The 22,630-nt window shown below is 38.7% G+C and overlaps 1 protein-coding gene across 20 annotated transcripts in view; it reads left to right on the top strand.

The window, feature by feature from the left end:
* The window catches only part of ANKRD44 (ankyrin repeat domain 44), a 343,767-nt gene that overhangs the window by 195,498 nt on the left and 125,639 nt on the right, over window positions 1–22,630 (top strand). For 19 of the 20 annotated variants that reach the window (NR_160034.1, XR_923062.3, XM_047446287.1 and 16 more), the window contains 2 exons: window positions 4,439–4,517; window positions 15,353–15,467. Coding sequence is in view for 18 of the 20 variants with exons in the window: in XM_047446287.1 (XP_047302243.1) it covers window positions 4,439–4,517; window positions 15,353–15,467 (194 nt within the window). In the remaining 2 variants the exon portion in view is untranslated. Of the gene's footprint in view, window positions 1–4,438; window positions 4,518–15,352; window positions 15,807–22,630 lie in introns of those variants that run through there. The other variant, NM_153697.3, reaches the window with a different exon arrangement.

The raw sequence follows: 22,630 nt of genomic DNA, 5'->3' as shown, positions 1-22,630 counted from the left end.
AAGTAAGCGTTAAAGAAGGCACTAGACATAGAGCTGTGCTGGATACAACTTAGAAAGACAGACTCAGAAATTGCCATTGCCAGGTTGTCTACCTCCTGTTCACTGACATTTAGCCTGTGCATGGTCTCAATTCTTTTCTGTCTGCAGGCTCTTAGATCATTTAGCTCTAAGAGATGGGAGTTGAAACATGTCTGCTTGAAGTGGACCAGTTCCCTTCTCTATATGTACCAGGACCAAATTATGGAATAGGTTGTGTTGGAGAAGTTGAAGGTGGAAACTGGAATGGGCAAGAGTAGGCAGTGATAGGGACGGTACTTAGAACGTTGGAGAAGTAAGGGAAAGGAGAGGAATGAGTGAGCCAACCACGTTCCATCTCTCTTGCCCTTAGAACCATACAAAACAAAACAAAATAAATTGGACAATGTGTGGCTTTTTCACACCAGTATTTTAGGAGGCTCTTGCATTGAATTAGGAAGACTTATTGGGTTTCTCACCTTATTTGACCCCACCCCTAACCGCAGGTTGGACTTAATGTTATCCCATAGAGCTTTTATTGCTCTGTAGTAGGGCCACTGAGCTCTGTGACCCCAGGGGTGTACCATGCCACAGAGAACATTATGCTTTCAAGACCCTGGGGAACAACAATGTCTGTAAATTTAGGGAACGTATATGGGATATTGGAAGATGAGGAAAGAAGGCATTAGGAATAAAAGAAAAAGTGAATGGATTTCTGAGGAGACTGGTGGTCAAGAAAATATAAACACTGCTTTTAGTTCAAAGATTAATCTTCCTTAGGCAATGCTGAGTTCTGCCCTGAAAGAGTACTAATATTTGTTGTAAATATTTTAATCCTCAGTATTTTTCCTTTATGACTTAGGGCTTGATTATGCCTAACTCAATAGAAGTGCTTCTTGCTTAATTAAATGGATTATCAAAATAACAATAATTTCAAAGCCCTAAATTCTATGGGAAAATGTAGCTAGAAAATTGGAGGGAGACTAGAAATTAAGAAAAAAATTTTCATAAAAGCTTTGAATAGATGGAAGAATTGCACATATTCTCTCTTTTGAGAACGCAAGGAATGTTTTATCTTTTTGTGCAATTCTAGGAATAGTAGCAACAGCCAGTACCCCTGCATGATAAATTTCAATTTCTCAGATCATGAAACTCAGTAGGGTTCCCTAGTCTCAACTTTAATGTTCTGAGTTCTAACTTTTAAGAATTATATAAAAAGTATTATCCTTTTGAGTTTCATTGGTTTTCTATAGCTTTTTGAAATAATGAGCTCCCTTTACACCCATACCATGTGAACAAAGTTGTCCCAAAATGGCTGCCATGATACTCTTAATGCTTTCTGTCCCAATTTCCCCACCTTATCTACCTGTTTCCCTATGTGAAGAAAAAAATATCAGCTATAGCCTGGACTCAGGCTATAGATGAACCCAGGCAAAGATCTGCAAAGATGGATGCAAAGCAATTGTCACCACTGATCATATGGCTGTTCTTTGCATTTTACCTAACTTTGGTCATCTCCATTTACTTGTCCCTTTACAAGTGCACAAGCACTCTCAGAGAAAAGAAGGTTGTGGTGTTTGCTATCCCTGAAATGGGCCTGGCTTTGCCCACCACACACTTCAGAGATCACTTCTGCTTTGTCTCTCTGCCTGCAACTTAGATAGCTACCACCAAGTTGGTGGTTACTCCTTGGTAAGGCCTTTAAGCTCTTTTATAGACATGGAAAATTGCTTAGCTGAATATTGTGAAGATATTTTCTAAATGCTGAAGTATTTATAGCTTTAGATATATTTAATTAATAATTACTTATGGTTTCATATTAAGAGAAAACACTGGAGCAAAATTTAAAGAAATAGCACCACCTAGGGACAAGTTAATGCCAACTCCACAATTTCTGCCTTCTCTCGCCTTAGTTATTTTGAAGTGTCATCACTTTTTAATTGGAAGGGGGTGTTTTAAATCCTTATTCCAAAGTAGTTCCCAGGTGTTTCAGTCCTTGGAACTGTGTGCAGTCCCGACAACTAAGGCCTAGCTCTGGAATCAGATAACTTTTAGGAGCTCTCCTTCCCAGTATGTCTCATGGTCAGCGATGGTTTTGTATCTCATTCTCTTGATTGCTCCAGTTTTTCCTCTAAAAGTATTATCAAGCTTCAGCTCTCCTTTCTCAGTCTGTTCTGATTCAGATTATACTCATAGAAGATGGAGAAAAGATCCTATTATTTCTTTTCTTCCCACATCTACCTGAGAATATTGAATTATAATGATACATGTTTTTTTTTTTCAATTAAGATGAACTTACCGTTCTAATTAACTTTTTTTTCTTGGCACAGACTATGTGTAATTCCTTTTTTATTTCTAAGGAATAGACTTATAGAATATAATAAAATGCTTGTGTTAAAACCTTGGTTTTATAACCTATTTTAGCCCACAGTCCAAAGCAGGGGTTAAAAATGGGACCCTCTTACCCCAATTCTGTAGTTCAGGGTTAAGGTACAGAATTCATATTTCTTTTTCTTTCTTTCTTTTTTTTTCTTTTCTTTTTTTCTTTTTTTTTTTTTTTGAGACGGAGTCTCGCTCTGTCGCCCAGGCTGGAGTGCAGTGGCACGATTTCGGCTCACTGCAAACTCCGCCTCCCGGGTTCACGCCATTCTCCTGCCTCAGCCTCCCAAGCAGCTAGGACTACAGGCCCCGCCACCACACCTGGCTAATTTTTTGTATTTTTAGTAGAGACGGGGTTTCACCGTGCTAGCCAAGATGGGCTCTATCTCCTGACCTCTTGATCCTCCCGCCTCGGCCTCCCAAAGTGCTGGGATTACAGGCGTGAGCCACTGCGCCTGGCCCAGAATTCATATTTCTAACAAGAATCCTGGGTGATTCAGACGTGGGCAGTCCTTGGTCCACTCTAAGAAATACTTACCTAAATTATTATTTGTTTTCCAAGATGGAGTTTTTAAAACAGTCATTTTAAAATACAGGCATTTGGATTTCATCACAAAATGAACATGCATTTTTAAAACCTCGTATTTTAATCTCAGACTTAGAGAAATTTTTCCTCTGAGACTTATAAAAATAAGTGTTACATAGATTTTTTTGATAACAATACTTGGATGAAAATACATTCTCTCTATTGGGGATACTTTTATTCTAAAATAACAGTAATATTTTCTTTTGGGCCTATTTTCAGAAGAAATTCTGTAAATTACTATTTCTTAGTTACATATGGTATCTTGGTATTTAGTATAATGATGATTGGTATATAGCTGTTGTACATTTTCTGTGTTTTGGCTTAATCTGTGTCAGGAAATTTCATAATTTCGATCATGAATAGTAACAAATATATGAATTCAGCACACATTCCCAGCTGGTCATTCAAAAGGCAGTTTCCTAAACAGTTGCATGCCTTAGTCCTGTGACTTCTAATGAGTTAAGTAAAGTAAGAGATTCTCTTTTGGAACAATAAAAAATTATGGTTTTGTTTTTTTCTGTTTTTTTCTTTTTCTTTATTCTTTTGTTTAAATTTTTTCTTTTTTGTTTTATTTTATTTTAAAAGTGATTTTTTTTTTAAATGGAATTATAATGGAGGGAATAGTAGAGGGTTCCAGATCAGTTTTCTTTTCTTTTTTTTTTTTGAGACAGAGTCTCACTCTGTCACCCAGGCTGGAGTGCAGTGGCACGATCTTGGCTCACTGCAACCTCCGCCTCCTGGATTCAAGCAATTCTCCCACCTTAGCATCCCCAGTAGCTGGGATTACAGGCATGCGCCACCATGCCTGGCTAATTTTTGTATTTTTGGTAGAGATGGGGTTTCACCATGTTGGCCGGGCTGTTCTTGAACTATCTCAAACGATCCACCTGCCTTGGCCTCCCAAAGTGCTGGGATTACAGGTGTGAGCCACCACGACCGGCCTCAGGTCAGTTTTAAGAGTTGCAGTGATTCAGAGCCATTTGGTCAGCTTCAGCTTAAAGAATACCATGCAAGGTAACACATTTGTCTTTTTTGTGTACTATAGACAAAGGTTGAAAAAAACACCTTGAAGGAAACTTCCTTCTCCAGTAGATCACAGGAGAGGAATAAAGGTTTCAGATAACTGTTTCTCTAAGCTTTTAAAACATGTGATGTTATGCAATAACTTGAGAGGTCAGGTACATTTTATCTTTTCCTTTCAAAATTATCTTTGCCTCTTGTAATTGTTGATCATACTTTTATTTTATTTTATTTAGAAGAATGTCATTCTGTCACCCAGGCTGGAGTACAGTGGTAAAATCCTAGCTCACTGCAGCCTCATGTTGATCATACTTAAAAAATAAATAAATAAATGAATGTTTTCAGGGCATTATTAGGAGTGTCCATAGGGGTATTTCAGATGGGTGTCACTGGCTCATGAGCACCTCCATTGTTTTTCTCTCCCTCTCTTTTTTTTAGAGTAAAGATGGCAAAAGTCCACTGCACATGACAGCTGTCCATGGAAGGTTCACACGGTCACAGACCCTCATTCAGAATGGTAAGAGAGATGCTTCAGTAGTGTCATTATTTCGATAGTTTCTTGTTGTGAATTTGGCTGTCAGTCACCTGCATATGAAAGTCGATGCCCTGTTTTGGAGTTTTAGTAAGCATGCAATTACATAATTCTTTGATGTACTTTGCTAAAAACTGTTCATCAGACATGTCATCAACATCCACCTTAATAGTAAAAACATAAAGCCACAGTTTCACAGTCAATTTGGAGTCAGGCACAGAGCATGAGCTTTGAAATTGGAAATGATGTATTTATGTAGGCTCAAGATCCTGTGCATCTCACTCTGAAACTAATAAAGGTAAGTAGCATTCATTTTCCAGCAACAAATCTGAATTATTTTTAAATTTTAGAGTTCACTATAATTTCCTAAGTTAAAACTTATTAAGCTAGTTGGGCAAAATTAGGAAAAATGAGATGACTTAGAGGAAAAGCAGGTAAGGATGTGATATAAAGGATCATAAAATCACAGGCTTAGGTGGGCGTGGTGGCTCACGTCTGTAATCCCAGGCACTTTGGGAGGCCGAGGTGGGCAGATCACCTGAGGTCAGGAGTTCGAGACCAGCCTGGCCAACATGGTGAAACTCTGTCTTTACTAAAAATACAAAAATTAGCCAGGAGTGGTGGCAGGTGCCTATAATCCCAGCTACTCAGGAGGCTGAGGCAGGAGAATCGCTTGAACTCGGGAGGAGGAAGTTGCACTGAGCCAAGATTGTGCCATTGCACTCTAGCCTGGGTGACAGAGCGAGACTTTGTCTTAAAAAAAAAAAAATTCACAGGCTTGACAGAGAAGACCTGGGAAAGTCACAGTAATATAGTAACTTTCTGGGCTTACGACAAAGGTATGCTTGAACCATCAGGTTGTCACTGAAGTCAAAGTACTAGGGAGTATCATTTTACATCCTGGTTCATGTTACTAATAGGGGGTCATGGCCAGCAGCATCACTTCTATTAGTAAATCTTAGAGAGTATTTAAAAAAGACAAAAACCAGGTTTAGTTCAGATTTTAAGCTGATATTCCAGGTCAATCTGGCAGTTCCTATTTTTAGTTGACCCATACTTCTACTTCTCAAAATTCTGATATTAGTCAGTTTCCTTGGACCTGTATTTTTCTCATCTATAAGAATTTCGGACCACATACACTTGAATTATTAGTGGCACTGAGTTATGTCTTAGTCACTTAAGACATAAAACAAAGAAGTCATTTGACATTTGGATGGAAGACCAGCCAGTGGAATTATGCTTAGCAAGCAAAATATCTGCAGCAAAGCAAAGGAAATTTATATGCATTCCAGTGAAGCTATAGGGAAAAGAAATCCTAACAAGTTTCCAGTGAGCCAAGGAAGGTAAAACAGAAATTAACCGTGCAATACCCATTATTTCTAATTTGAAATATGTGCTATGCCTTTGACATTCATTTTATTGAAAAGGCCACCGTGTTTTATTTTGCTGAATGTAAATAAAGGGGGTCGGGGGGAGTGACCCTAGTCTCTTTCGAGCACGTCTCTTATGCCACTGTATTTCTCAACTGTTTTTCAGAAATAATGTCCACCCCCCTTTAAAAACAAACAAAACTTTTAGAAACAAACAAAACTTAAACAGCTTGGTTCCCTTTTAGAGCAACTTCAAGCTCCAGAGACAAGGTTGGAGGGAAAACAACTTTTCTCCTTCTAAGCACTGCCTTCCCCGCAGGTTCATCCCTGTGCGTCAGGCCATGCTGGTCATCTCTATGACGCATCTCCTCTCTGTCCTGCTGGCATGCTTACAACAGTCCCAGGGGACTGCTGGCAGCTTTGGCCTCTGCAAGAGCCATGTGGGCTGGAAGAATTCCATGTCCTGCCTGGATATTCTTGCTAGACTTTTTTTGTTTATTTGTGTTTTTGTTGTTGTTGTTGTTGTTGTTGTTGTTGTTTTTTAAGACACTTTCTCACTCTGTTGCTCAGGCTGGAGTGAAATGGGGTGATCTCAGCTCACTGCAACATCTGCCTCTCGGGTTCAAGCGATTCTTGTGCCTCAGCCTCCCAAGTAGCTGGGACTACAGGTGTGCCACCATGCCCAGCTAATTTTTGTATTTTTACTAGAGATGGGGTTTTGCCATGTGTTGACCAGGCTGGTCTCAACTCCTGGCCTCAAATGATCTGTCCACCTTGGCCTCCCAAAATGCTGGGCTAACAGGTGTGAGCCACCGTGCCCTGCTGTTGCTAGACTTTTGAGTTGGGGGAGACCTAAAAGAGACCCTGTCTCTTATCCTCTGTGGTCAGGGGATCTTTGTTTCAGAACCTCTCTCATTCTTGGTTGTCCTGGCATCTTGCTTATGGATTGGGTGGGGTCCAGGGGCCTGAATTGATAAGGATATAGTGGCTATAATATGTAGCCTATTATATATAATGATAAAGCTAAGTGATAATGATAAAGCCAAGTGTTCATAGTGTGCCAGGCACTTGGCTAAACACCACTTATAAAGCCTTTCAACCACCCTATGAGAAAAAGGTACTATGATTATCTCCATTTCAAAGATGAGGAAGCTGAGGCAGAGAGGTTGTCACTTGTGTCTGGATAAATGGCCAGTATGTTGAGGAATAGGGATCTGAACACAGGAAGTCTGACATCAGAGACTGAACTCTCAACCACCACGCTTATAAACATGACCTCCAGAAACCAATGGTGTTTTAAAAAAATTCCTTTTAAAATTGAATTCTGTTTACTCTGAGAGTCACTTATATTTGAAATAGAGTTTTCCCTGTAAAAGGATGCTTTGGTATTCTCTTATCTCAACTGACAATTTTTTTGCATTCATAACACATGTGAGAACTGTGAATTCTTCCATTTGACATTTTTTAAAATGCCCTTGGGGAGAAGAAAAGGAAGTTCTTTTTTTACCTCCTGTTTGTTGGCTTCCTTCTGGGAAGAATCTTGGGCTGTTGCTGGGACACTCCCTCTCCAGAAGCTCATGCCCCTAGGGCCTGGTGTCAGTCCCCCCAGAGTGGGACATCACCTAGCAGGAGCCCCTCTGTCCTCCAGGACCACATGGGCACAGCATTTGGCTCCCTGAAGCAACTAAACATGCTACTGAGGAATGTTCTTTGTATTTATTTGTTTTGTTAAATTGCATTGGTGTTTGGACTTTGAATAGTTTTCTCTGCTTCTCTGACTGCTCTCCAGTCAGGATTACTAGTTTTCATAACTTTGTTTTTCCAGAATCATCCAGCTTTAGTAAGACAATAATGAAAAAAAAAACCCCACTCTTTTTTAGTTAGTAAGCAAAGACTACCTCTGCTATCCAATCACATTGTTTGTTGTCTGAAGCTGTGTTGTCACAGCAATAGAGGGAAAGCAACTGACCAAAGACAGCATCTGGTGTCTGAAGGCATTTGACCTCACCATTGGCCCTAGGCACCCCCCTCAGATGCCGTCCAGCAGGTTACACAAGTTCAAAAATGATGTTTTCTTCACAGAAGCTTTAAAAATAAATAGAGTTTGAAAAGGAAGAGTCAAGTTGTAGGTTAGGATGAGTCAATGTGAGATTTTTGACCCTTTGGCTCACAATCCTTCCAAGGCAACTTAATAAGCTGATCATTCTTGTTTGTGCAATGAAAAACTAATTTCAGATGAATGCTTAGAGGATACTAATTAATTATCCTTTCTGACATGCTCTGCATACTTCTAAACTGGCAAATGTTTATTTTCCTCACTGGTTGTCAATGATCAATCTCCAATATTTAACTTGCAACCTTCAAATGACAAACGGTAAAGAGATTTCATTTGCATTCCAAGCAAGTTTTAAAAATTTTCAAATGAAAATGGCAAGGTTTGTGGAGTAATTGTAAGATAGAAATGCACTTATCTAGAGGTGCTGTTTATATAGAAAACATGTTTTCAGATAACAAATAGAGAGTCTGTCTTTTATTTTTCCACTAAGTTATGTTTTCCTGAAAAAAAAAAAAAAATATATATATATATATTTGAGACGGAGTCTTGCTCTGTCACCCAGGCTGGAGTGCAGTGGCACCATCTCAGCTCACTGCAAGCTTTGCCTCCCGGGTTCACTCCATTCTCCTGCCTCAGCCTCCCGAGTAGCTGGGACTACATGCGCCTGCCACCACGCCCAGCTAATTTTTTGTGTTTTTTAATAGAGATGGGCTTTCACCATGTTAGCCAGGATGGTCTCAATCTCCTGACCTCGTGATCTGCCTGCCTCGGCCTCCCAAAGTGCTGGGATTACAGGCGTGAGCCACTGCGACTGGCCTCCTGAAATATATTTTAAATGATAACAAAAGCACATATGGACAATAATTATCTTTCTTTTTTTGGGATGAAATCTCGCTGTGTAGCCCAGGCTGGACTGCAGTGGTGCGATCTCGGCTCACTGCTATCTCTGCCTCCCGGGTTGAAGAAATTCCCCTGCCTCAGCCTCTCAAGTAGCTAGGACTACTCAGGTAGCTTGCCACCACACCTGGCTAATTTTTGTATTTTTAGTAGAGATGGGGTTTCGCCATATTGGCCAGGCTGTTCTTGAACTCCTGGCCTCAGGTGATCTGCCCACCTTGGCCTTGCAAAGTGCTGGGATTACAGGCGTGAGTCACCGTGCCTGGCCAGTTATCTATATTTTTACAGTTTTAAGCTGACTTGTAAAATGAAAGCAACAACTACAAGAAAAAACTTTTATCAGCTCAGACCCCTACTCCATCCTTCCTGATAGTTTTCACTCTTCCCTTTCTCTACCCAATTTTTGGCATATTTGAGACTGGTAAACCTGGAGGCTCTAACACTTTTTAAGAATGATTTGGTGACTCTTGGCTGGGAAGGATGTGGATTGATGGAGTGTTTGTCCAGGGCAGACTTCTCTGCAGTCTGGGGATCTCTGTCCCACATCTCCCTGGATCAGCTCGACAGCTGGGGCTTTCAGGCAGACCACCGTGGGCAGCTCTGATATGGATACGTGCACACTGGATTGCTCTGAGGTATCTGTGGGGACGAGGTGGCTGCCTGTCTCCAAAGCTACCATCAAGTCATAAAATGAATTGATCTCAATTGGACACTTCTAAATTCAGATCATAGTTAACTGTCTGTTGAGTCCCTAGACGATCACAATAACTAACTTTATTATTTTTCCTGATTATAAAATTAGTACATGCTCACCGTAAACTAAAATTAAGTCATGAAAGAGATTCCGTGATCTCCACCAATGTGTCTCCTCAGCCCTATCCCAATAATTTTTATTGGCAGTTTGGTGACACTTCTGGATTTTTCTATGTATTTAAGAATATATGTAAAGATATTTAATTATTACTTTACAGAAGTGATCATACTCTATTATCTGGACAATTCATTTTAAAAATAAAGCCAGATACAGTGGCTCACGCTTGTAATCCCAGCACTTTGGGAGGCTGAGGCAGGTGGATTGCTTGAGGTCAGCATTAGAGACTAGCCTGGCCAACATGGCAAAACCTCATCTCCACTAAAAATACAAAAATTAGCTGAGCATGATGGCATGTGCTTATAATCCCAGCTACTCGGGAGGATGAGACAGGAGAATCACTTGAACCCGGGAGGCAGAGGTTGCAGTGAGCCGAGATTACACCACTGAACTCCAGCCTGGGCAACAAAAGCGAGAGTCCATCTCAAAAAAAAACCCCAAAATAACAACAACAAAAGAACCCCACTGTAACACAGAAACAAAGATTTGAAGAAAGATCAGTATTTCTATTCAAGTTCCCATTTACATTTCTCTGTCCCAGTCAGTTAAAAAGGGATTCCCTTTTCGTAAACAGCTATTAAGTTGCAGACCCCCAAATGGGTAAACTTACTGGCAGCAAGTTGATTTTCAAACAAAATTCTACACACAGAAGTCTTGAGAGTAGAGGGAAGCATCCAAAATCCTGTGTGTGCTAATTGGAGTTTTTGAAACAATTGTCCCCTTCACAAAGTGCACACATTTTTGTTAATCATTTCACTTTGTAGCAAATATTTTTATACTCTAGCCCTGCGTTTTGCCAGTACACTTGGCTAGAAAAAGCGTTGTTTGCTGAAAATAAATGTTGGGGAGTTGTTAGTTATAATGGCCAATAGTAGGATTCATTGGAATGAAGGACATATAGATCTGATGAGGACCTTATGGACGATCTTATTACAAGGGACAGTGTCCTGGCCTGGAAGATAATGCCCTTTCCCCAGAGCTGAGAAGACTCTCAATGGCTTCTTTTTGGTATAATGCTCAAGTATACTGCTAATGGGAATGCTAATGGGCAGAGCCTTTCTCAAAAGTTTTTTGCTGGTGTGTATCAAGGGTCTCCATACTTTTAGTCCAATAGTCCTACTTTTAAAAATGTTGCTGCCTGGGTGTGGTGGGTCACCCCTATAATTCCAGCACTTTGGGAGGCCGAGACAAGTAGATCACTTGAGGTCAGGAGTTCGAGACCAGCCTGGCCAACATGGCAAAACCACATCTGTACTAAAAATACAAAAATTAGCCAGGCATGGTGGCAAGCACCTGTAATCCCAGCTCCTTGGGAGGCTGAGGCAGGAGAATTGTTTGAATCTGAGAAGGGGAGGTTGCAGTGAGCCGAGACTGTGTCACTGCACTCCAGCCTGGGTGACAAAGCAAGACTTTGTCTCAGGAAAAAGAAAAAAGTTACTAAAGGAAATCATCTGAAATGTAAAGACTATTTGTAAATATGTTCATTCCTGTGTTTTTCTTAATAGCAAAGATTTGGGTATGCCCTCAATGCCTATTAATTGGGGACTTGCTAAGTAAATTCTCTAGATACTGATATTATATAGTCATTTACAATTATATTAATGAAAAAGATTAATGACATGGGAAGGATTGTAATGTAACATTAAAGGAGAACGTAGGACTAAAAAACTTTTTCTACACCGGGAACTCAACCATGGGAAAATTCTACACACGCATGCACACATACATACAACTGGGAGGAAATATTCCAAAATACTAGTACTGACTATCTTGGATAGTCAGTGAATTTATAGATGACTTCTGTTTTCTTCTTTGTATTTCTATTTTACTACATCTTCTAAATTTTCTACAATAAGAAAATACTTTCTCAATCAGAAATAAGGTACTTAAAAGAAATGTATCACACCTTTCTAGATTGAAGTCATTCATATTTATATTACTTATCCTAGCATATATAGGTATGTATATGGTTTAGACATCAGTACAAAAAGAAACCTCATACCCGTTAGTCATCACTCCCCATTTGTCCCCAGCCCCTGGCAACCACTAATCTAGTTTCTGCCTCTGTGAATTTGTTCAGGCTGTTTTCTTGAATTTTCAGTCTTTTAGGCATTCAGGGAACATTTATTTAGTCAGTCAACAAACACACCACCAAGATAAACTCCAAAAGGATCAGATATCTATATCTGAAAAAGAAAACCTTTCACGTATAGAAAACATGTGTCAATTTCTTTGTTACCAGGGTATAGGGAAAGACTCCCTAACAACAAACCCAAACATGATAAAAGACTAATACATTCCTCCCCCAATTTTTTTTTTTTTTTTTTTTGAGATGGAGTCTCACTCTGTCGCCCAGGCTGGAGCGCAGTGGCGTAATCTTGGCTCACTGCAAGCTCTGCCTCCCGGGTTCACACCATTCTCCTGCCTCAGCCTCCCAAGTAACTGGAACTACAGGTGTCTGCCACCATGCCGGCTAATTTTTTGTGTTTTTGGTAGAGATGGGGTTTCACCGTGTTTGCCAGGATGGTCTTGATCTCCTGACCTTGTGATCTGCCCACCTTGGCCTCCCAGAGTGCTGGGATTACAGGCATGAGCCACCACGCCCCGCCACCCCCCAAATTTTTTTGACAGGGAAAAAAACATCAAAAATTAAAAACAAAACCTGGGAGAAAAATAATTGTAACATGTATTGCTGATAAATGAGTAATCTCCCAAATAGAGCTTACTCATTTTAAAAGTTATTGAAAATCACTTTTGCTCATTTTTCTAAGTTTGTTTGTATGTTTGAGGACATTTAAGCCATTCACATATTTCTATTTCTTGGGGTTTTATATTACTTATACTAGCATATATACATATGTGTATATGGTTTAGATATCAGTATTGTGTATATGTTTAAGGACATACACACAAACTTAGAAAAATGAGCAAAAGTCATGAAAAATAGTTTACAGAAAAAGATAAACAAATGGTCCTTCTATAACATATGAAAAGATGTTCAACTTCCCTCATAATAAGAGAAATGCAAATGAAAGCTGCAGAGAGATACCAGCTCTCACCCATCAGATAGCAGATATTCAAAAGCTTGACAAGGCTATAAGGAAAAGTGCCTCTCATACTGTGCTGGTTAGAGTGTAAAATTGCACCGTGCCTACAGAGAGAAATCTGGCAAAATCTGACAAAACCACATATTAATTTTCCCTTTGACCTAGATATCTCCCTTCTGAAAATTTACCTTGAAGATACATCTAACAAATATGAAGCAACATACATATGAGATTATTCACTGTGGCATTCCAGATAATAGCAAAATGTTATTTACAACCTAAATGCTTACCCATAGGAGACGAGTGTACTAAACTAGTACAACTGTGCAATGGAAAACAATAAAACTGTACAAAAATCAGGAAGATCTCCAAGAAGTCATCTTTAGAAGTGAGTTCTAGGAAATACTGTTAAGTAGGGGGATTTTTTTTTGTTTTTGTTTTTGTTTTTTGTTTTTTTTTGCAAAGCGAAACACAGAAGCATAAACTAAAACTAATGAAAATGCTTGCTGTAGGTTGTGTATGAGGATGAAGAGGAAGGGATAAGAATGAGTAAGCCTTTTCAAAAATATGACTTTTGACTTTTGAAACATGTATTTTACATATTATTAAAATAAAATAAAACCCAGTAAAAATATTTGAAAGCAAACAGAATCAAATGAACCTAACTTATATAGATAATATAAGCACACAGTAAAAAATTCAGGTAAATTTTGAACAAAGTACTCCCCACATATGCTAAAAATTATTGTGGAAAAAGTCTGTTGGGAAATCAGATATCTGTACACTCTGATTGCCTGTATCACCGCACAGATTGCCTGTTAATTACAAAGAGGAGAAGATATTTTTGCAGTAAGTGTACTGACAGACACCACCTTAACCACATAATCAAGCCTTTTTTTTTATTGTGGTAAAATATACATAACATAAAATTTACCGTTTTAGCCATTTTTAAGTGTACAGTTCAGTGGCATCCAGTGCATTCCTACTGTTGTACAACCATCACTGCCATCCATTTTCAGGGCTGTTTCTTTTCCCAAACTGAAAGTTGGTACCCATTGCAAGTAGTCAAACTTTGCATCACCTGGTAATGGAATAACTGTGTGCGCTAAGAAAATGGAGCGGGAAGCACGCATCTGCTCTGGGAATTGTTGCCAAAATGTTTAGCCTGAATCTAATAATGAAGAAACCAAAAGACAACTCCAGAATGTAGAGCGTCCAACACAACTCGTGATTTGGGCTCCAATAATATCAACGACATGAGAAACTTAAAAAAAAAAAGCCAGGAGGATTGTTTTGGATTAACAGAAACTAAAGAGACATGACAACCAAGTGCTATCAGGATATTTGATTGGATCCTGGATTAAAACAACAAGATAACTATTATAAAGCACAGTTTGGGGACAGTCTGAGAAATTGGAATATGCACTAATATTACATAAAATTATTTTATGAATGTTAAATTTCTTGGGTAAAATGATGGAATTGTGGTTATGTGCGAAAATGTCTTTGTTCTTAGGAAAAACATACTTAGCGGTAAAATGTTATGATAGCTAACTTTTTAAATGGTTCCTCAGATAAATGAATGAATAGACCAATTGTATATATACACACACACGAAAAAGGGAGAGAAAAAAAGAAATTTAGTGAAATAAAAACTGGGGGAAGAGAAGGCAAAATAAAACATAATGACAATACTATATTATTAAAAGAAGTATGGATGATTATTGTCATAGTTTTTATAAATATAGGCATTTTCAGTTTATTGTCTATGCTTTTACTCATTTTAGTCATAATATTAAAATACTATAAGCTAGATCATCAAATTACATGAAATCATTTCCTGAACTGTCCATCCCCTTTGGTTCTTATGTTTTAGCACAAGGTTTACATAGGTTTTTAATTCAGCAGGGAAAATTAAAATTGAACATGTCTTCAGAATTACACTTTATGGGATTTGAATACATTCTTCATTCAGAGCAGGCATTTAGTTGTGAGATTTTGGATTCTTAACTAAGACAATATGGAAAGATTTCTCAAAAGCATTTTTCTTTTTCTTTTTCTTTTTCTTTTTTTTTGAGACGGAGTCTCGCTCTGTCGCCCAGGCTGGAGTGCAGTGGTGCGATCTTGGCTCACTGCAATCTCTGCCTCCCAGGTCCAAGCGATTCTCCTGCCTCAGCCTCCTGAGTAGCTGGGATTACAGGCATGCACCACCACACCCAGCTAATTTTTTTATTTTTGGTAGAGATGAGGTTTCACCATGTTGGTCAGGCTGGTCTGAAACTCCTGACCTCGTGATCTGCCCGCCTCAGCCTCCCAAAGTGCTGGGATTACAGGCGTTAGCCACCACGCCCGGCCTCAAAAGCATCTCTAATAGACTTCTGTCTACGCAGATATACTACTACTACTGCTTCAGATGGTGACTTGTCCCCTTTAAAAGCATTCTTGTATTTCGGAGCAAAGATGCACAACTGGAATAGGAAAGAAATCAACATTTGGTTGATACGAGAGACTAGCAGAGAACATAGGACCTGAATCAACCTGAATCCTTGCGTTATCCTGTATTAAAATATCTCTTTCAGGAGGTGAAATTGACTGTGTGGATAAGGACGGCAACACTCCTCTCCATGTGGCTGCAAGATACGGTCATGAGCTTTTGATTAACACCTTAATAACCAGCGGAGCTGACACAGCCAAGTAGGTTACCGCAAAAATACGGTGGAATAATTGCCTCAAGTGGGAATACTGCCAAAAAGATTCTTCCGTGCAGTAGATAGTTCCCATTTATCCAGGTTAAGGTGGATCTATACCATTATACTAAATACAAATTAAATTTTAAATAAATTAAGTGCCTTTTAATGACAGAGGCAAAGAAGAACCAATTTTATTTTTTAGCTTCATCCAAATGAGGTCTATTTCAGTGGTTTTAATTAAGGAAACTTGAACTTTATTCGTAACTTTTCTTTCTAATATTCTTCTGTCCTTCCCAATGCTTCATATTAAACAGGAAAAATAAAACCTAACTGAGCCAATTTAGAATGTATTCAGATTGCTTGCTCAGCTTTAATGATATGGTTATAGAGTACAATTGAGTCAATCTGCTATGTAGGGAAGGGGGAACCTGACTTCATTTTGAACTTCAATTCCACAAAAATACATAAAGCATCTATGCTGGGTGCTATGGGAGATTTCAGAAGATGTAAGTTACCTAGTTTCAAGGCGCTCATAATTTTGTTCAGGGCCCAAGACCCACTTAAGTCAAAGAACCATGCAAGATCATATATCATAAAGTTCTAAATGAAACAGACTTAAGTGGCAAATGTTTGGTGTAGACAATCTGTGTCACAGAATATAGACAGGGAGGAGAGAGCTCAAAGGTGGCCAGTGTTTTCTGAAAAGGCTTCAAGGAGAAGATGAATTTTAGCTAGGCTTTAGGGGCTGAGAATTATCTGAGTACAGCAGAGGGTGGCAACCATCCCAAGCAGGGAGGAAAGCGGGAACAAAAGAGGCAAAGACTCCACACCAGGGAAGAGCTTGGCCTGACAGAGTAGAGAATGTGATGATGCTGTGCACCACCGAGGGGCAGGACCCAGGGTGGTTGGGAGCCCAGGCTTTGGTGGGTGCTCCCTTGATGCCAATCCAAGCTGCTTCCCTTGTGAGCTATGTGACTTTGAGCCCCTTGCCTAATTGGAAATATTGTAGTAATACTAGTAATACTAGTACTTATCTGTAGGTTTGTTATGAGGATTAAGTGACTTAATTACTAGTAAAGCTCTTTGGTATCTGGTAAGATCTATATGAGTTCTATAAATACACCTCCTAAGGTTATTAAAAAGATAACGCATGTTAAAAGCTCTTTGAACAGTGCCTGGCACGTAGTGAGCTATCAATATATGTTAACTATTATTTTATTATTTAATAATAGGTAGTAGAACTAAATTAAAGAGGGCCTTCAATGCCTGAATAAAGAGTTTAGCCTTGATCAGAGTCTGTAACAATAACTAAATTTTTAGAAGAAAAACCTTATGAAAGCAGTGTATCTTAGGAATTTTATTTGTTAATTTTCTGCAACATCATTGAAAGTCTTGTATGAGAATGAGCTAAAATTGAAATGGCCTGGGGAAGACGCAGTGGGATCATGAAATCAGATTCACAGAGGGCAGGTGTTCTGGACTTAAAATGAATTTTGTGAAGCACTCTGGTAGATTGGTAGGATATAATGGTTTATCTTCATCTGTCCAACATCTTAAGTTGAACTGGGTTCCAAACACCTCCCAGTCTAGTGGTAGAGATAAGAACAAGCACAAATTACTGAGTATTGTGAAATTTGTTAAGATGGATGTTTGGACCAGGCTGTGGGAACAGAGTGAGAGAGATACTAATTTTCTGGATCCCCCAGAAAAGATGACATTGTAACAAAAGGAAGGATATATAGGAGTTTGCTAGATGGACATAATTATGGGGTAGAAAGAGAAATGGGAGAAAGGAAGGATATCCCAAGAAGAGGGAACAGTCGTTATAAAGACATAAACATGTGAACCTGTTAAAAGCACATTTCTAAAGCTGGGTCATTGGATGTTTGGTGGGTGGAGTGGAAAGAAATGAGGAGGAAAGGCTGGAAGAGCCACATCTCAAAGGGCTTCGCAAGTCCTGCTAAAGAATTACATTCCACTCTGAGTCATTCGGAAGCTGTTAAAGAATTCTAAGTGGGCGTAGAACAGGTTGTGTCTAATGATCCCATTTGTGTGTAAGAAAGTTCGCTCTGATAGCAGTCCAGACATACTGCAGGCGGTCCAGACGTACTGGAGGCAGTCCAGGCTACAAACACTTGGCAGCCTCTTGCAAATGTCCAGGGAAGAAAAGATGAGGTCTTGGGCTAAAGATGAGGCTGAGGGATGACAGAAGAGGAGAATGCTGACAAATAGTATTAGCAGTGGGATGTCTTTTTACAGAAGAGAGGGGAATCTGCTGTGAGCCAAAAGAACTTTTTAATTGGGATGTCGTAAGTTAAAATAAGCCTCTCAGTTTTGTGGAAAGAGCTCTACACTAAGATTCAGTACGCTCTTACCAGGTTCTGGAGTTCTGAACCAGATCGTAGATGCCCAAAGATAGAGATAATAAATGCTCAGTGTTAATTAAGCAGAAAAATAAATATTTAGGCACCAACTGACTTTACCTGTAATGTGTTAATATTTTCAGTGGTATTTTTTTTCAGCTTTGGGTTACTTGGGAAATTTTAGCCAAACAATCATGAATTTCTGATTTTCTTCCAGACTTGAATCCATTTTAGGAATAAAAATAAGCTGGACCCAATGGTTACTTAAAATTTTTCCCTAAAAACCATTTAATTCAATATGATGGAAATTTATTTCCATGTAATTATTTTGCTTTCAATTTATGGAAACACAGACCATGTAGCAAAAGTGCCTTAAAAATAGCATTGTTGTTCAAGTAGCATTTTCTTCCATTGTCTCTGCTATGTCTTAGGGACACAGATGAGGGAAACATTGTCTCAGCCTGAAAGAGCCATGTCTGCTTTCTTTGTCACAACTATCTGGGGATGCGACATGCTACCTTCAGTGACAATGGTTCCTTAGGGCAGTGATTGTATGTGTGTGTGTAAGTGCCTTTGTGTGTTTGTGTGTGTGGGAGAATGGAAACGACCCTAGGGCAAAATATCAAAGTGAAGGGAAGAGTAATTGGAGAAGATTAAATTTGCCAAAAGCCTCTCAGAAAATCACTGTTATCTGGGTTCCTTATAGGATTATTAAAGAGGAGAAAAATAGGCCTTTCATAGATAAGTGAAAAAACAAATAGCATTTGTGAAAAGAACCCATTTTCATTCATAAGCAATATAGCCAAATGTATTTAAATTAACTCTATATGACAAGTTTTATCATTATTACTTTCTTACGAATTTATTTGAATCTGAAATAAATGTCAGCCCTTGATTAGAATGTTCTTTGTTATTCTTTTTGCTTCTCTGAACTTTAAGTCAGAGCAGCTTCCTACGGTTTGATTCAGTGCTCATGCAACTTTACGTGATGTCAAAGCCCTTTGGTTTATCTTCTTTAATTTTGTTAGTTTGCGGATTGTCTCGAGGATTTTAATTTGCCTATTTCCTTACCAATTATGCATTCTTTTTCTGCCTCAACAGCAGAATTAGGGGTATTATAGTTTATGAATAACTGGCTCTGACATTCATTCATTCATTAAATATTGGTTGAGGGCCTAAGTGGTACCTATGATGCCAGGTTCTGGGATTATAGAGGTCCCTGCCCTTGAGGAATTTATGATCCCCTGGGAGCAAGATTTAAACAAGCAATACAATCATGCATGCTAAGTGTGATGCCAGAGCGATTGCTGGGTGCCACTGGGATGTGTGAAAAATATCTAAGATGTGGAACCCAGTCTCACAAGACTAGAGAAGCAAGATGTAAAGGTTTAACCAAGACTGAAGGATGACTAGCAGTTAGCTCATGGTAGCAAGAGTCTTTTAGATCCTCAGTATATACTTATTTTTATCATAATGATACATGAATATGTATAAACATAAACTAGATGAACTCCTTAGGCTTTTGACGCTAGCAAATTAATATTTTAAAAAATTACAAAATACATGCAAACAGAAACCAACACCATTCATGTTAACTGCACAATTTAGTAGTAGCAAACATTATGAGTGCTTCCCTCTGGGCACTGCTCTGAGGGGTTACATTTAACTTTCACCATAACCTCATGAGGTAAGTGCTATGATTATTCCCATCTTGCAGGTGAAGTAAGTGAGGCACGGAGAGGTTCAGTTACCTGCTCAAAGTCACAAAGCCAGTAAGGGATAGAAATGGGACTCATCTTCAGTCTACTGGATCTGGACCCTCAGCTCCTGAGCAAGTGGCTTGCTGCCTCTACATAGCAGATGATGTGATGGTTCACATTTTGCCAAAGTGAAGTCACCATTTGTGTAGGATTATGGTCCTGGTGGCTGAGGTGCAGGCTCTTTAGAGTTCAATATACACTGCAAGAATGGAGGTTTTGCAGTGGCTTAAAGTGGTGGAACAGTGGACTTGGCATGCAGCACAGAGCCCCTTCTTCAAGCTACTGCCAAATTTTGTTTATATGGAAGGCTCAGGTACTGGATTATCATTGGCCCTCCCTAGGTTCAGCCTTATCACTTGTCCATTGAGCCCATCTTTATTCTTTTCTCACTGGCCCATGCCAGTACTACACAAACACCAATGTGATCCTCAGTACAAACATGGACACTGAAATTAGGCAGAGGTATGTGGTGATAAAGGGCCACTCCGATGAGTCAAAAAAAATGCTTTTATGCCAGTTGTTTTAGATTATCATAGAAAGGAAAAGACAGGTTAAAAATTCTCACAGAGAACTCTTGAGATCCCAAAGATATTTCCAGTACTTCGGAGATGCACTGATTAGTTGGAGAAATAATGGGAGAAACAGGAGAGAAAGATAAGAGAGTTTCAGGTGGAGGGACTGGTATGTGCAAAGGCCTGGGGGCAGGACAGAGCCTGGCACTTAGAGGAATGGAAACAAGTTTATTGAGATTCTAGAATATTCAGATTAGACAACAGCCAGATCGAGAAGGGGCCTCTTGAACCACTTTAGCGTGTTTAAACTTGATTCAAAAGGAACCACTGAAAACATCTGTTCGTTGCAAATAACAAGGACCAGGTCTCATGGCTGTCACTTAAGGGTGCATAATAAATACTTGGAATTGCATAGATAAAATTCATAAGAAATTGGTTTGTTTACTTGGATTGATCATTTGGGTAAAACATCATAAAATCATCCTATTCTAAATTTAAGAAATGTTTTTGTCTCATCCTCTCAGTGAGCAAAGCTAAACCAATCCCACTTTGCTGGGACACTTGTGAGGTAAATATTATAAAGAATTTAGACACACAGAAAGATAACAGAAATGTTAACCGATCATGATTCATTCTTGGCTTTTAAGGAATCATACAACTGATTTTAAGGAAGTACAACCTGATTACAACTTCAAAACTCATGTACTGCTGATTACCAATTAACCTTATATGAATTGCAAGGGCAACAATCATACTAACATGTATGGTAAAGGATTTCCATGTGCGTGATGCTCCATTTTAGCACTACATGAACATTATCTCAATGGGTCCTTACAGTTGCTCCATGATAGAGTCACTGTAATTGTCTTATTTTCCTGAGGAGGGAACCGTTATGCACTTGCCAAAGGTGAAGTAGATAGCAAGTGGCAAAATGAGGACTTAAACCCCAAGTTTCTGACTCTGTCACTTTAATCATGTATTCTTTACCCACATGGCCTAAAGAGAAGGCTCAGAAAAGACTGGATGTAGGGAGGGCAGCCACATCTCTCTGATGCCAAGGGGAAAGCTTCAAAGACCCCAAATTCTAATCGTGTGAAGGCTCTTTCTTCATTTCTAATAGCTCTCTGCAAGACAGGCCTGCAGACCTCATTTATTCTGAAATAACTGGGTAGGAGATGCCAACTAACAGCTAAATTAGAACTAGCTAATATAAATGTGTTCCATTAATTCAATGACTGGTCAAATAAATGTGGCAATTTAACGAAATTGGTCTCCTCTTTCCTGTAACTTATGCATTGTTAAGTTTAGTGTGATTTGGCACCTTCATTATTGATCTTCCTTGATGTATACCTGATGAAGTAAGAGTGATGCTTCTTAATTGGCTAAGACAGCCAAGTCCTAATTTTCCTGCTAAAGGTTTTATAATCCTTCCTTTGTGAGCAGTCTTATTTTATAAAATAAGGTAGTAATTTTATTTTGAAATACATAAATCATTCCTGAATTGATTCAGAGACACTGAATTCTGCTTTTCTTTTATTTCCAATCTTGACTTGAAACTTAGTTTTACTATTTGAACCATAGTTTCATATGCAAGCGCAAATGCCAATAGTATTTGAGTCTATGCGAATCTGTTTTCAAATCCTGCACTGAAGTAGTAACTTTTTATTCACTGTGGAGTAAAAAATATATATCAAACAAATTTTACTAGACCTTTTAAATCAGAGTAGTTCTATCTCTTTCATCTTCTCAGGTTTGTAAGGAGCAGTGAAAAAAAATCAGCGAATGTAGAGTTTGATGAATTATACAAAGATGGGTTTTAAGTGGCAAGATTGATTGGAAATATTGATAATGAGGTTTATGGAATATATCATATTGTTGCTGTTATACTACCACTTATACTTTTTGTTTTTCCCAATTGGTTTCTTATAGAGTTTGATGCTATTTCCTCAAATTCATTTGCTTGTATTATTTTACATAAAGATACATATGGAACTTTATAAACTATATTGTATATATATTATGTGTATATATATTTTTATTTATGCGTGTATATGAACATATGTGTGTGTGTGTGTGTGTGTGTGTTTGTATGTATTTAAAGAATGAGGGAGGCTCAAAGAAATCTTGAGAAATCCAGTCCTTGATTCCAGGCATATTCTTTCAGGAATGAAAATATTCTATCCATTTTCCTCTTCTAAATGTCCAGATATATTTAATCACATAGTTTTGCCTTAAATTCCCAAAACAAATAAAATGATTAGGTAAAATCACATTAGCTTTAAGTGCCATTTTATAAGGAGGTTTTAAAACATGTTATGCATTGAAAAAAAAGAATGTTTCTCTTGAATCAAGAGGGAACAATATAAATAATAGCATAAGCAGAAAAGCTTCTCTCCTATCCCCCAACTCCCTCTGCCCGTTCAAGAGCATCAAGGTCATCACTGATGCAATTGCATTTCAGAATTTTTTTTTGGTAAATGATGAGCGAGGCAATTACAAGCAGTTCTCCTCCACATGATGCTGCCTGGAAGA

Source organism: Homo sapiens, chromosome 2, assembly GCF_000001405.40.
Source record: "Homo sapiens chromosome 2, GRCh38.p14 Primary Assembly".
In the NCBI taxonomy this organism is placed as follows: domain Eukaryota; kingdom Metazoa; phylum Chordata; class Mammalia; order Primates; family Hominidae; genus Homo; species Homo sapiens.
This window is presented reverse-complemented; position numbering and strand designations above follow the sequence as displayed.